Source organism: Homo sapiens, chromosome 10 (genome assembly GCF_000001405.40).
Source record: "Homo sapiens chromosome 10, GRCh38.p14 Primary Assembly".
Lineage (NCBI taxonomy): Eukaryota > Metazoa > Chordata > Mammalia > Primates > Hominidae > Homo > Homo sapiens.
The window spans coordinates 88,823,269-88,838,616 of record NC_000010.11 but is presented as its reverse complement, the minus strand read 5'-3'; the positions used below and the strand labels follow the sequence as shown (position 1 = coordinate 88,838,616).

At 38.1% G+C, this 15,348-nt stretch overlaps 1 protein-coding gene across 1 annotated transcript in view, besides 2 other annotated features; it reads left to right on the top strand.

Annotated features, from left to right (window-relative positions):
* The window catches only part of ANKRD22 (ankyrin repeat domain 22), a 31,949-nt gene that overhangs the window by 13,228 nt on the left and 3,373 nt on the right, over positions 1-15,348 (top strand). The window contains exons 2-5 of the mRNA NM_144590.3: positions 6,591-6,782; positions 9,951-10,058; positions 12,502-12,579; positions 15,239-15,337. Of these exons, the coding sequence (NP_653191.2) occupies positions 6,591-6,782; positions 9,951-10,058; positions 12,502-12,579; positions 15,239-15,337 (477 nt within the window). The remainder of the gene's footprint in view (positions 1-6,590; positions 6,783-9,950; positions 10,059-12,501; positions 12,580-15,238; positions 15,338-15,348) is intronic.
* Positions 2,518-2,667: an enhancer, noted in NCBI's record as "active region_3726". NCBI's record gives its function as "activates an Ori minimal core promoter by ATAC-STARR-seq in GM12878 lymphoblastoid cells {active_cell/tissue: GM12878}" and the evidence as "EXISTENCE:reporter gene assay evidence [ECO:0000049][PMID:35858748]".
* Positions 13,193-13,282: an enhancer, noted in NCBI's record as "active region_3725". NCBI's record gives its function as "activates an Ori minimal core promoter by ATAC-STARR-seq in GM12878 lymphoblastoid cells {active_cell/tissue: GM12878}" and the evidence as "EXISTENCE:reporter gene assay evidence [ECO:0000049][PMID:35858748]".

The following is a 15,348-nucleotide window of genomic DNA, read 5'->3' as shown; positions in this document are numbered from 1 at the left end:
ATAAGCTTCATTCTCCCTTCTTGACCTGTGTTTCTACTCCAAATCAGATACCCAACAAGGCCACCCTTGACTTCTCATCCCTAGACAGAGTTTATCTGTAACATCTCTCTGATAACTTCTAAACTGGTTACTTTTCTAATAGACCACATGTACGAACTGTGCTCTGATCCTTCTCTGTGTTTCTATTTGCTTGTCTCTCTCTTTTTGCAAGTTCATTTGTCTTTATCTGGCTTACATATGATGCCCATTAAGACTGAATTTAATGGTAAACCACTCTCCTCTCATTTCTCTTGCCTGACAGACATGTTTCCTAATCCTTGCTCTTGCCCTCTTCACTTTCTGTACTCTTCCCTCATCTAGGTTTGCTGAAGAAAATCACAAACTCACATGGCAGGCTCAGTCAACTCTATCTTCTTACTGTGTTTCTACAACCTGGTTTTCAAAGCCATTTTATATTTTTATTCATTTCATGTAGACAGTTTTAATTACGATGGTCCAAAATCTTCCCCATCATGCTCAAAAGTCTCATCTACCCTTGTCTCAATCACATCTCCTGTCATTAATCCATTCATCTTTTTAAATGTCAATGCTATTTATTTAGTTATTGGATTAGTCTGTTCTCATGCTGCTAATAAAGATATACCCAAGACTGGGTAATTTATAAAGGAAGAAGTTTAATTGACTCACAATTCCTCATGGCTGAGAAGGCCTCACAATCTGGCAAAAGGCAAATGAGGAGCAAAGTCAATCATGGCAGCTGGCAAAAGAGAGCTTGTGTAGGGGAACTCCCCTGTATAAAACTATCAGATCTAGTGAGACTTATTCACTATCATGAGAACAGCATGGGAAAGACCCACCCCTATGATTCAATTACTTCCCACTGGGTCCCTCCCATGACATGTGGGAATTATAGGAGCTACAATTCAAGATGAGATTTGGGTGGAGACACAGCCAAACCATATTAGTTATCTAGATGTATCTATTTATTTATGACAAATATATAGTAGTATAATGAATGAAGATCAAACCTCTGACTTTCTGGCAAAAATTTCAGTCAGTCTAAACTTCTTTCCATCCATGTAGCTCTCTTTTCTCCCTTGCTTTGGCCTTAGAGCCAGAATTTTCCTTCTATGTAGGAGACTAATGTTTCCATCTTAATGCTCTCTATCCTATCATCTCTTCACTCTCTTTGATCAATTATCTACCCTCTCATAACCACTCCTGTCCATCTTCATTGGCTCCTTATGCTTTAATAATTATAAGAGTAGCTAACATTAATTGAGGGTTTACTGTGACTCAGATCTGAGCTAAGTGCTTCATCTGCACAGTTACATTTAATTCTTTCTGAAACTTATAAAGAAGGCATGATTATCAAAAGCAGAAGGAAACTTAGCATGAAGAGTCTAGGTAACTTGTCCAAATAACATAGCTGTTAAGTCGCAGAGTTGAGATTGGAACCCAGAGAGTTTGTTTCCAGAGCCTGGATTTGTAACCACTTGATGACACCACTTTGCCTACAAACGTGTGGAACGTTGGCTGGACACTGCTACCCCCCTCTTTGAAGTCTCTAGCTTTCCCTAACAGCTTTTTCACTGCCAAACTGACTACAATTCCTCTCCAATTGCATCCTCTAATTCTTCATAGACAATGTGCTCAGGCCTCTGTATTCTTCCTTCAGCCCCATCACTGTATGAAAATTGGCCTCTGCATGGCTGCTAATGATCACATTCAATGATCTTTGTCTTCCTTCTTGAAACTTTCACTTCTTTGCCTTTGAGTCTTAACGTTTTTCTGTTTCTTCTGCAGACTCTCTGATGACACTTCTTATCTCTTGGTGGATATTGCTGATTCTAGGTCAGGTTGGAGAAGGAGTCTGGATGTATAACCAGTATAACCAGCAAGTCAGTGCCACAAGTGGACAGATCAATATCCCGAATACAGACTGTAGCTTAATTTTGGACACAAATATCAAATGCGAAGTCTTGTAGCCAGAAGACATTTTGAAGGCTGATTTTTAAGACTAAAGTGATTGGAGATAGAATGTACGCATTCTGCAGTCATTCCCCTTGATTTGACTCTTGGCCATGCCAGTTGTGAACTATGTCACTTTGGGCAAGGAAAACAATTTCCCTTAGTTTCATCTGTGCAAAACAGGTATATTAATACTACTTTAGAGGGTTGTTGTGAGGATTAATATAGAATAACTGAGCTACTCAATAACTGTTAGCTCATCTTATAATTTCTTCCTTCTCTTATTTACTCACTAAGTACATATTGAATGCCTACCATGTGCCAGGCACTATGTTATGGGGGTACAATGATGAATCAGTACAGACAAAATGTAGCCTCATGTAGTCACAGTGCCCTTATATAGCTTACAGTCTAGCTGGGGAGATGGCTGTTAATAACACACATACCTTTATTTAGATCAAGGGTGTGGATAAGACAGTGGTAGGAGATGAAGTTGTAAAAACGGCATATGGAACACGTGAGATTGAAAGAATTGTGTGCAATAGTCTTGGTGAGAATGATGAAGATCTGAAGCAGTACTTTAGCAGTGAGGATGGACAGAAGGGTTCTGAGACTATTAGGGGATAGAGTTATTATAATAATTTCCCAAGTGTGTTTCTTCTACACCCAGGGTGCCCCCAAATTACAGAGCTTAAGGGGTTAAAAGGGGTTTATGATAGCTTTTCCAGCAACCCAAATGGACAACCTCTTCTCTTTTTCATACCTGGCTTGTGAACCAGCACTTTCTATTGGACTTCCCTTCTGCCCGCTGTCAGTGCTTTTCTTACGCTGCGCTGCCCCCTAGTGGAAACCGCAAGTTCATAACAGCATGGAGTCTTCAGCGTTAGTGCGACTCTCACATTAAATTATAGTCATGCACCACATGATGTCACGATCAGCAATGAACAGCATATACAGCAGTGTTCCTATAAGATTATAATGGAGCTGCCCTATACAGGTGTACCATTTTATCTTTTACGCTATATTTTTACTGTATATTTTTATATGTTCACCTATGTTTAGATGCACAAATACTTACAATTGTGTTACAACTGCCTATAGTATTCTGTACAGTAACATGCTGTATAGGTTTTTAGCCTAGAAGCCACAGGCTATACCATATTAGTAATAGGCTCTACCATCTAGGTTTGTGTAAGTAAACTCTGTGATGTTCCCACAATGACAAAATCACCTAACAACACATTTCTCAGAACGTATCCCTGTTGTGAAGTGAAGTATGACTGTACTTGTGCATCTCAGCCGAGAAGGAAGACACTTAGCTTCCTGGTAACTCTGTGTCTTGGATCTAGGAAGCCTAAGAAAGACTAAAGATAGGGTTAGTATTTTACATAATATTGCTCAAATGGGGTTGAGAAAGCCCTCAAAAGCACTGAGTGACTCTTGCAGAACAACTCCCCATCTTTTCCTCTTCTTCTTTTTAGTTAGCTCTTAGTAAAGACTTTGAGAAGCCTAAGCAGAGAGCTCCTGGAGGTCTATGTTACCAGGCAGGTAACATAGATGAGTGAAGAGAACCAGTGTAATGTGATGGCGAGTGGTGGGGACTGTGGAGAATTGGAGTCACTGCCACTAAGCACCAGTTATTTGGTATCCTACAGGAATATGGGCCCAGTGTTAGCAAAACTTTCTCTTTTTTTTCTTTCTTTTTTTTTCTTTTTTTGAGGCAGAGTTTCGCTGTGTCGCCCAGGCTGGAATGAAGTGGCGCGATTTCGGCTCACTGCCGAATCAAGCGATTCTCCTGTCTCAGCCTCCAGAGTAGCTGGGATTATAGGCACCAGACACCATGCCCTGCTAATTTTTTTATTTTTGTATTTTTAATAGGGATGGGGTTTCTCCATGTTGGCCAGGCTGATCTCGAACTCCTGACCTCAGGTGATCCACCCACCTCGGCCTCCCAAAGTGCTAGGATTACAGGCGTAAGCCATCGCGCCCAGCCAAAACTTTCCATTTTTAAAGAGAAGCTGGAAAGCCAGATTAATACATGAAATATTCTAGTTTTTTAAATGTTGTTAAGTTATTTAAATATTTGAGAAAAGAGAAAAAGAGCTCTAAAGCCACTTGTTTCCAAGCTATTCATGGTAGACCACCAATTTCCAAATGCTTGATGAGTAGTGCTCACTGCTAATCACTCCATTATTAAATTTTCACTAGTTTATGGTAAAATCTTTTAAAAGGACAATAAAATGAATTTTTCTATAAAGCTAACTAAATCTACCCAATATAAAGAACTGCTTTCCCCCTGGTGATTATATTCTTACATATTTTGTTAAAATACCCTTCATTTATCTTTGTATTTGTTAAAATATCTTTTATGAAATAATAGTATTGTTTTAAATACATTTAATTGAAAAATTAAGAGTTGGTGACTTAACACTGTCTTGTTGCATTTAGTTTTGTTTTACTTATTTTTGAACTCCAAATGACTGGGCATTGCTGCTAGGACAATGGCAAGTCACTGAAGGTTTTATTTAAGCACTATTGTGTTGACATAACCCTGGACTCCAGCAGTGATGTGGAAGATTTGTTGGTTGAGACTAGAGTCCCAGAAATAATCGAATATGAAAACCCAAGGGAACTTCTGCCTTACTCCTTCATTTAATGACTGAGGACACTGAGATACAGTAGGGAAGTGAATTGTCCACAGTCACCGGGGGAGGTAGTAACAGAGCCACAATTACATCCTGTTTTTCTGACATGAGACAAGTGTTTCAACTGCCCCAGTCCTTTCTGCATCAGCCACACAGTATGCTGAGACACTGAAGTGCCCAACTGTTGGAAAGCTTAGTAAAGGGAAGACTTCAGGATAACAGAATAGGTGATTTGTGAAATTGTGCATTTCTAGTGAAACTTAAAGCCCATGTATCATGTTCATTTCATTTTTAAGGTACAGAAGTTTGCCTTTAATTGCTGCTGAGTTAATTTTCTGTTAGGATGTTTCTTTCATGAGTAGGCCTTTAGGTTTAAGAGTATAACATAGTTCACTTATTGTGATATTTGGCTATGTTAGAACCTCAGTTTATTAGCAAATACACCCACTTGACTTTCCCCTTGATACGTCCCAGTTTCCACAGGTGCTTATGTACCTACCCATACCAAAAAATTTTTTTCTTGTCATTTACTCTGTGTATGTGTGTCTCTGTCCTATTTCCCCACTTGACAGATACATTTTACATGGATAAGATAACATATTTTATTCTCTGGTACCTGTGACTGGCACACAGCAGGGATTTGACTTGATTATTAAAGAATGACAATTGCAATAATGATAACTTTCATACACTAAGCACCATCCATATGCCAGGTATTACTCTAAATGCTTTTTAAAAGACATCATCTGAAGATTAGTCTAAAAATATTCAGTGTTTGCCTCCCATGTGCTGAGTGCTGTGTTGAATGCTGGAGAAATAGCAGTAAATAAAATGGGGTTTACGGCCTGAACTTCAGTGCCTTCCTTCTCAGCACTGCCTCAAACCTCTCCTGATTCATGCTAGCCCTAAATACATGATTGTACATAATTAAGAAAAGAATTACAGTATGTCAGTTGCTGTGAGGGAGAGATACTGAATGTTGGGAGTAAGAAAAGACTTCTTGGATAAAATGAAAATTAAATTATGACATGAAGGGTGAGCTAGGTGTTATTCAGAAGAAAGGCAGGTGGTGTGTTTTATGCAGAGAGAGTATTCAGGGCAGAAGCCCAGATGGAAGGTACCAAACATGGTTTGGTTCAACCAAACTTTGAAGAACAGAAGTCGAGAAAGGCTGGAGCAGAGGAGGGAAAGAGGACAAGATCATGCTACCTGAAGTCTTGCTATTAAACTCCCATGGTGCCTTGTGAAGCTCTGTATAATGCTTTTTATAAACAGCATCTAATCAAGTGTAGTTAACCATATAATTTGTATATTATTTGCCTAAAAAACTGTCTTTTCTGCTCTGTTGAGCTCCTTGAATACAGGGTGCTATGTAGGTCTTATTTCATCACTAGTACTGCCCTAAACTCCTCCCCATATGCTTGTTTTCTATTTTATCTTTAGTAAAGATAAAGATAAAGACATTTTATCTTTAGTAAAGATAAAGATAAAGACATTTTGTCTTTACTAAAGATAAAGATATTTTATCTTTAGTAAAGATAAAGATAAAGGTATTTTGTCTTTAGTAAAGATAAAGATAAAGGTATTTTGTCTTTAGTAAAGATAAAGATAAAGGTATTTTATCTTTAGTAAAGAAAATGAATGCTTTTCCGACAGGCCCACCTACCTGTAAGCACTATACATAGTTTCCTTACTGAGTTGAATTTGTAGTATTTCATTTATTTATTCATCCATTTGATGGACATAAGTGTGTGCCAAGAAAACTTAGGAAAATGTAGGAGGTTCCTCATGGGCTAATTCTTGATCTAGACTTAAAGCTAGGCATAACTGAGACCAAAAAATCTCACCTGCAAAGCAATATATTACAATTTTAAAACATTTAAATTTTAATGTATTGGGTTATGACTTTTTTTTCGTTTTTGTGGTTTAATTATGCCAGTATTTCAAAACCTGCTTTTGTTTTTCCCGACCCAGCCCATCTGCCAAGCAGCCTATCAGAATGACTTTGGACAAGTGTGGCGGTGGGTGAAAGAAGACAGCAGCTATGCCAACGTTCAAGATGGCTTTAATGGAGACACGCCCCTGATCTGTGCTTGCAGGCGAGGGCATGTGAGAATCGTTTCCTTCCTTTTAAGAAGAAATGCTAATGTCAACCTCAAAAACCAGGTGAGGTCATGACATGAATGGAGAGTGTAATTGTTCATGATAATTCTTTTCTCTTTGAATCACTAGAAGTGGTGCATGTCATTTTTTAAATTGCTTGCAGCTCCTAATACGAACAATTATCTTAGCCTACTTTAGAAAGACTGACACATACCAAGGACATTTTATTAGGCTAAACAGCAAAATAAAACATAGTTCAATCAGCAGGCATAATTTGTGATAAATTATGTCTTTTTACCTCTGGTTCACTTATTTGGCTGGATAGAGCTTCTTTCTTTTCCTTCTTCCTCTCTTCATCCTCCTCTTTCTTCCTCTCCCCTCTTTCTCATTACTAACACAGAAGCAATGGCAAAGATTTCTTGGAAAAGAAATGCTGTTTCATTAGTTAGATTTTTACCTGCTATATTAATGTCCTGATCTCCAGAGGATCCTATAGTGTTCTTGTAGAATGAAAGAGTACTATTGAGAAATTTACCAAGGACAAATAAGCTCATGAGCCAGAGGTTACTTGAAGTCACACAAAAAGGTGTAAAGAATATATTTAAAGATGCAATATTAGCTACTTTGGAGCCTTCAGGACCAAGAAAGAGAAGAATATGTGTGTATTGCTGTGAAAATCCTTGTGGAGCCCTTTCTGAACATCTAGCATTTGCATCGTAGTGAAGGCAATATTTAAATTACACTGAATAAATATTAAGCCATTTTTTTGCAATCATTATGACTGTCCTGTACCCACTTATATGCATTCAAGGCGAGAAAACACTGGAAATCCCCCCTTGCCCCTTCTAAGTCATTTGGAGACTAGCTCATCAGGAGTAACAATGTATTATCAGAAAATTGATCATTACTGGACTTTTTTATTTATGCTTACTATTTTTGGTTTGGTTGCGATTAAAAGCAAGTCATGCCTGTGCTGAATGGAACAGATATGCAACATCGTGGACTATAATAGGATCTCTGTAGATCACTGCTGTGAAACCAGATATGTGGAGTTGCAGTGAGTGGTAGTGCCAGAAGACAGATGTCTGTGGGTTCCTGCGCTCTTTTAAGAGGTGCGCTCGTTAGGAAACTGAGGGAGGAGACGTTAGCCCATGGGCAAGGCTGAGGAGACACTTTTATCTCCGCTTTGCAGAAGAGGAGGGCCTCAGCCAGCCTGCTGGGATTTTCTGGTATCATAAAAACCATGAAAAAGACTTTAGTGGATACATTAGATTAATAGATTTTATCAGTAGAAGTTTTTGGTTTGCATTTTCCACTTTCAAATGTTTCTAATGTTAGCATTTAATATTTTTATTTTCTCCAAATATTAATATTTGTACATTAATAATTTGAACCTGTGATTTCTCATGTCTGAAATCTGTTTATAAATTATTTCCAGAAACACTAAACAAACAAACACCTTAAAAACAAACAAACAAACAAAAAGCTCTGCTGGAGATTCAGAAGCACAAGCCTATGGATTCTATTGATAGCAAATTAAATTAAAACATAAAGATCCTTGTTTTTGTCTGTCAAACTGACCAAGATTAAAAAAGAAAACAAATGTTGATCAGAAAGTTTAAGTTATTATTGTCTTATTAGAACACAATTTGATAGCGCAATATGAAAAGCATTAATACTTTTTATGCCAGGAATTCTATTTTTAGAAATGTAGGCAAAGGACAAATTTGGAAATGTTGACAAAAATTTATGAATGAGCAGGTTCAGGCAATATTATTTATAAAAATGAAAAGTTTAAAACTTGAAACGGGCCATGTGCAGTGGCTCATGTCTGGAATCCCAGCATTTTGGGAGGCCAAGGTGGAAGGATAGTTTGAGACCAGGAGTTCAAGACCTGCCTAGGCAACATAGCAAGACCCCCGCATCTCTACACAAAATAATAATAAGTAAAAAATTATCCAGGTGTGGTGGCACATGTTTGTAGTCCCAGCTACTTTGGAGGCTGAAGTTGAAGGATCGCTTGAGACCAGGAAGTCAAGGCTGCAGTGAGCTAGGATTGTGCCACTGCACTCCCGCCTAGGTGGCAAAGCAAGATCCTGTCTCACAGAAAAACAAAAACAAAAACAAAACCCTCAAAAACCATGAAATGTTCAAAAGGCAGGGCTTAGCTAAATACATCAGAGTAGTTCCACTCAATACTAAGCCATGCAGCCATTACAATCATATGTTTAAAAATATTGAATTGCATGGAAAAATGTACATATTCTAAATATACGTTTCTGAACTGAAAAAAGCAAGATATGATATTGCATATGCAATATCATTCTACATTTCAAAATTCCACATTTATGCATTTAAGAAGACTGGAAGAAAATACAACAAAATGTCAACAGTTAACTCTGGACCATTTAATATAATAATGGGCAATTTAAAATTCTATCGTTATGTTCCTCTCTAGTTTCTAAAATTTTTTTACAGAAAATATAAATGCCTTCATATTAGAAAAACAAAAAGTGTTCTTATTTAGGTACAGTGCCTTGCATAAGTGGAAACTAACCTCCTTTCTTTCTCTTGGGCTCCCTCTCCTCTTACTGATTTGATTGGTATTCCAATTACCACCTTCTGTTTTGCCTTATATTTATTTGTGCATATTTCTGTCCATCTTTGATTATGAGGCCCTAAGAGTTCACATCTCCCACAACCCTTGGAAGCTGACATCTATTACCTGATAAGTATTCACATATTTGAAGAATAAAATTGAGTTATATGCATTCTTCTAGACTATGCACATGAAGGAACATGAAAAACAGCCATGTGGTTAAGAGTTTTCCTATGAACAAACCACAAAATGGATAATCGTACACATGGTAGATGATTAAGGGATAACTATCAATTTTCATAGTAAATTCAGTCCTAAGTTTATATCTCAGTGTATCTTTTTTTCCAAAAACTAAGTGGGTATAAGAATCTGTCTTCTGATGAGCTCTGCTGTGTACATTTCACCTTTGTTGACTCCCAGGAGCCCTTCCCTAGCTTTTCCTTTACACTGGACCGAGTTCTCTGTTCTGCTCCATGGAAAGCCGCATTCAGTAATCAGATGTATCCCACAGGAAAAGATGCCATGGGTACCGGAAAAACAAAAAGCACAAACTAAACTTTTTGAGATGGCCATCTGAATAAATTTTGAATTGAAATGCTTTATTAGTAAAGAATCCTTTTCTTAATTTTTAGAAAGAGAGAACCTGCTTGCATTATGCTGTGAAGAAAAAATTTACCTTCATTGATTATCTACTAATTATCCTCTTAATGCCTGTTCTGCTTATTGGGTATTTCCTCATGGTGAGTACAACACTTGTAGAGCAAAGGGCAAATGTGGAGATCGATGGTGTGACTCATTGACTCTTGCCAGGCCAGTGAGATGTTGAAAAGAAATAAAAACAAAAAAAGCCTTTGGTTTGTATTCTGTAATTGACATGTTCAACATACATCCAATGCTATAATTGAAGTACAGCAAGAAGAAAGCTAGCAAAAATAGTTAATCAATGGTAACATAATCCATGCAATGTTGATTTAGAAAAATAATTTAACCTTAACTAAGACTTTTCTGAAGGGAGCAAAAAAATTCTGAATATTAAAAAACACCCCTTCTAATATTTTTTTCTCCTTTTTTTAAAAGAGGAGTTTGTGTTTTTGGATTTATCTTTCTGACTTACTGATTTTTAAGTACTCCTCTGGTGGTGTGTTGAAAAACAGATCCTAAAAGTTTGCATCCAGAAGCTGACACACACAGAAGATACTTGTTGAGAATTTAAGCCCATTTTCACCTTGATGAATTTCTTCATGCTTGGATGAATCTTGGCAGACAGCAATTTTCTTGAATAAAGAAAGATGTAGTTGGTATAGAGATGCAGTCATATGAGGAGTAGAAGATGAAGCTTGAGATGGTTTTTGGTTTTTTTTCCCAATAGGGTAACAGATCTGCACTGACTTACTCACTTTTATCCATCTAGTTTCCTTTGTGCCCAGTTCCACTTCTCAGACATGACTCAAGAGATGCATAATTTACTTTAATTAAATGACCAAGCTCCCTCCTTGTTGTAGCTCATAAACTGTGAATATTGGTTACACCTGTTAACATCAGCCGCAGAACAAGTCTGCCCGTCAAAAATGTTATTATTTCATTGGGTATTTAAATGCCACAGAATTTGAGGAACTATAATTAAACATGACAATGTTGATTTTTATATTTGGATTTATAGGAGAGAGAAAAGAACTTTAATTCACTAATAAAAATATAATCTGCTCATATCCTCGAAGAATTCTTTAAAAATTCATTATGTATTTAGCACATAGCATTTAAATACATGTATTTTGGGGGCAGGGAGAATCTGTTATTTATTTACAAACATTTTTAGAGATTCTAAAGGTAAAAATTACAACTGTGATTAGAAGGCTCATTCAGAATTTATTGACACACAACTCTGCTTTCTAAGATGGTTCAATGTTTAGAGGCTGGAGGACTGGGCAAAAATAGTAATCGTAATGAATAGCTCAACTCTAGTTTCATGCACGTGCAATTTATTAATGGGGCCTAAAGTTGTAAATTTGTGATGAATTAACAAATAAGTGACATGAGAGGAAATGATAGGGGAGGAGAGAGGAAAGCATTGGGTTATTTCAGAGAAAAGTAGGCAGAGAAAGGCAGTTTAGGAGGTGACACAAGAGGGAAGCCTAAGGAGAGAGAACTGGATGGAGCTTCCCAGGTGATGACAGGGTTGAACTCCAGGGCTATACCCAGCTGAGCAGGGAGAGCTTTGCCTCTTCAGGAGACTGGAAGTTGGGGAAGACTCCAACAGGCTTGTGGTCAGAAGCTCAGGAGACTGGGAAGGAAAAGTGAATTTCTGAGGAGTCCTAGTTCATTTCATTAATTTGTTCAATTCTTTAACGTATGTTTATTATGGACCTACTATGTGCCAGACGCTGTGCTAGCTGTTAGGGACACAATGATGAACAAAATAGGCATAGTTTTTTACCCCATGAGAGTTAGAGGGTGGTGGGGAGAGTCATTAATCAAATGGCACAAACACATGTAAAATTACCATAAAGCGGGTGATACAGAAAGGCGACTGGTGTTAGGATAGCTAAAAAAGAGGGATTTCACCTGGTCAGGTGGGTCAGGGAAAGCTTCTTAGAGAAAGAGGGACTTGGGCTGATGAATGAAAGGTGAATATGCCAGGCAAAGAAGAGAGGGAGGAGGCTTCTAGGCAGAAGGAACTTCCTGTGCAATGATTCTCTGAGAATGAAAGATTAACAAAGGCCAATGTAAGTAGAACAGAGTGAGCCAGGAGGCGCAGAGTGAGAGAGAGGCCAGGGCAGGGCCATACGTGGAGCCAAAACATACGGGGCTTTGTAGGTCATGCTGAAGAGTTTACTTTTGTCCTCAGAGCAATGGGAAGTAATTGCACAGCTTTGAGCCAGGAAGGGAAAGACAGGTACTAGGCCCCATCCTCAGTGGAATTAGGTAGGTTTGGGGTGGGACCTGAGAAGTACATTTCTAAGGTTCTTAGGTGTCAGTGCCGCTACTTCAGGACCACAGTCTGAGAACCTGGCTTTAATTAATTGATATTAGAGTGAGTGAGAAGCTGGGGGAAATTTTAGGAAGGGTGCATGCATGCATAGGAGTGTTGGGATTAAAATGAAGCCTATTGATTAAATAGTCTCAGGCATAAATTGGAGAAACTATTTGTAAATAAGCCTTTCTTATAATTACCATTTGTAATAGGTATCAAAGACAAAGCAGAATGAGGCTCTTGTACGAATGCTACTTGATGCTGGCGTCGAAGTTAATGCTACAGATTGTGTAAGTTTATACTTTTAGCCATTTTGAAAAAATATTCAAAATGGTATTTGTAGGTAGCGTATTTGTCATCTGTACAGTTGCTTTATTTTCCTAGACAATTTTACATTTAGTTTTCTTTTATTTTCTCCTTTTTTTTCCCACTGACAGGCAACCTTGAGGTTATTTATATTCTGCTGAACTCATGGGAATAATACCTCTATTGATTATAAAGCATTTTTAAAATAATTGGCTTTAATGTTGTTGAGACGTTAAGGAAAACTAAGGCTCCGATAACAAAATACCAGCCATAATAGTTAAGAAGCTGGAGTGAGAATGCCCATGAGTAAACTCTGGGCTTGCCACTTTTTACTTCTATGAGTTTGAGCAAGTTGTAAACTTATTTTACTTTCAGTGTCCTCATCGGTAAAATGGGGATATGGATAATACTTATCTCATTGGGCTTGTTCATGTAAAGCACTTAGCACATGCTCAGAATGTAGTAAGTGCTCATTGAATGGCAACAGCTGCCACTGCAGCCAAAATCCCAACCCACTGATGAGAGGCCCCGTGTGCAAACTACAGATAAATAAGACAAAGGTCAAAGAAAAATCCCACTGATGGTAAGAGCAGTGATAACAACAGTAGCAGCATCCGCTCACTTCTTCCTGTTTATGAGCATAAGGTGTTGTTTTCACTTTCACCTCTGTGCTCTTGCACTCATCTTTCTTTCTCAATGATCACAGAAAGACAAAAGTTTATTTCTATGGTGTTTTGCTTATGGTGATTGAATAAAATTTTGGATTCCCAGTTCCTTATTGAAAAAGTAGGCAAGTGGAAATTTGATTCCAAAATACTAACATTCTATTTGTGATGCCTAACATATTTTACGTGTGTGCACATCTGTGTGTATTACCATTGTTTTATGATAGAGACCATGGCCCCATTCCTGTTTCTATCAATTATTTACATCATTTCGGTTTTGCCTATGCTGGTATCATGTTTAAATGCAGGCAGTTGTGTGTGTGTGTGTGTGTGTGTGTGTGTGTGAGAGAGAGAGAGAGAGAGAGAGAGAGCAAAAGAAAATAACTTTATGAAATTTATATTCCCTTTTATTTCAAATAGAACTTTTGGATAAATTTGTATTGACAGTTACTGTGCATTACCATTTCTTTAGATAGCTTTGAAATATATTAAGTAAGAGATTATTAAAGATGAAGTTAAAAGTTTGTTGAAGGTTTTTCTTGGTCTTTTCATTTAAATTCAATAGATTTAATATTCCTGCCTGTGACCAAAATTTCTCTAGGATATTTTCTCAGCAATTTATGTGTATTTCTCTCTCTAGATAGAGATATTGCATTCCTTCAGCTAGGCACAGTGACACTAGCCTGTAGTCCCAGCTACTTGGAAGGCTGAGATGGGAGGATCCCTTGAACTCAGGAGTTTGAGACACATGCAGGTACACACACAGACACCACTTCTAATACCAAAATTTTTTCAAAAACTATCTGAGTATTAAAATCTACTTTCTAGGTAAGACAGTGTTTTGTATTTTTGGATAATTAGACTCTATTTCACATGACAAAATTCAGAGCCAGAACTTCCATTTGTCATGCCACCACTTAATAAAAATAAATAATTGCAACATGATCTCCTATAATTTTAGAGGTGTTTCTAGGGAATGGGATCCAGAGCTAAACCTGTCTTGATAGCCAAAGGTACTATTTCTTCACTCACCAGCACCATGGTTGCTTGGCTACTTTTCCAAAGGCCAAATTTTGGACACTAATGCCCTAGCTATAATTTTTTTGACCTGTAGTGTTTTAAATTAGTACCAACAGAGTAGATGCACTAGCTTATAACACATAATATAAGCTATAACAAATCACGTTTGGGAAATGTCTCTGTAGAACTGCACTGATCTTGCAGGTGTCCTGCAGCAAGAGCACCCGACTTCTTCAGTAGGAATCATCACCAAAACCATAGAGGATAATGTTTATGTAAAGGGCCATGTGGAGACTCTTTAAGGGAAAGATGGTGACATGATCAAGGTGATGATCACCGAGGCATATAGCATGCGACAAAGAAACTTTGGCACAATTCAGCATCAGCTTTTTTAAGTTGCATTCTTTAGAACAGAAAATGGAAAACAAAAAGGCAGAGATTGATGGCTTATATGACACTAACATACATATACATTGAGACAGAGAAGAAATTTTTTTTTTTTTTTTTTTGAGACGGAGTCTCGCTCTGTCGCCCAGGCTGGAGCGCAGTGGCGCAATCTCGGCTCACTGCAAGCTCCGCCTCCCGGGTTCGAGCCATTCTCCTGCCTCAGCCTCCGGAGTAGCTGGGACTACAGGCACCCGCCACCGCGCCCGGCTAATTTTTTGTATCTTTTAGTAGAGACAGGGTTTCACCGTGTTAGCCAGGACGGTCTCGATCCTCTGACCTCGTGATCCGCCCGCCTCGGCCTCCCAAAGTGCTGGGATTACAGGCGTGAGCCACCGCGCCCGGCGAAAAATTTTTTAAGTACTAGAAATAGTTGTCTATCAATGGTTTGCAGACTATTTTTCTGCTTAGTTGTATACTACAAAGTGTGAAAAGGATTTGCCAATGAAGCCACATGCTATGGTCTGTGGAGGGCCCGACTTATGAGCTGAAGTTTTGGCCCTTTGTGTTTCAGTATGGCTGTACCGCATTACATTATGCCTGTGAAATGAAAAACCAGTCTCTTATCCCTCTGCTCTTGGAAGCCCGTGCAGACCCCACAATAAAGAATAAGGTAAGGGAGGG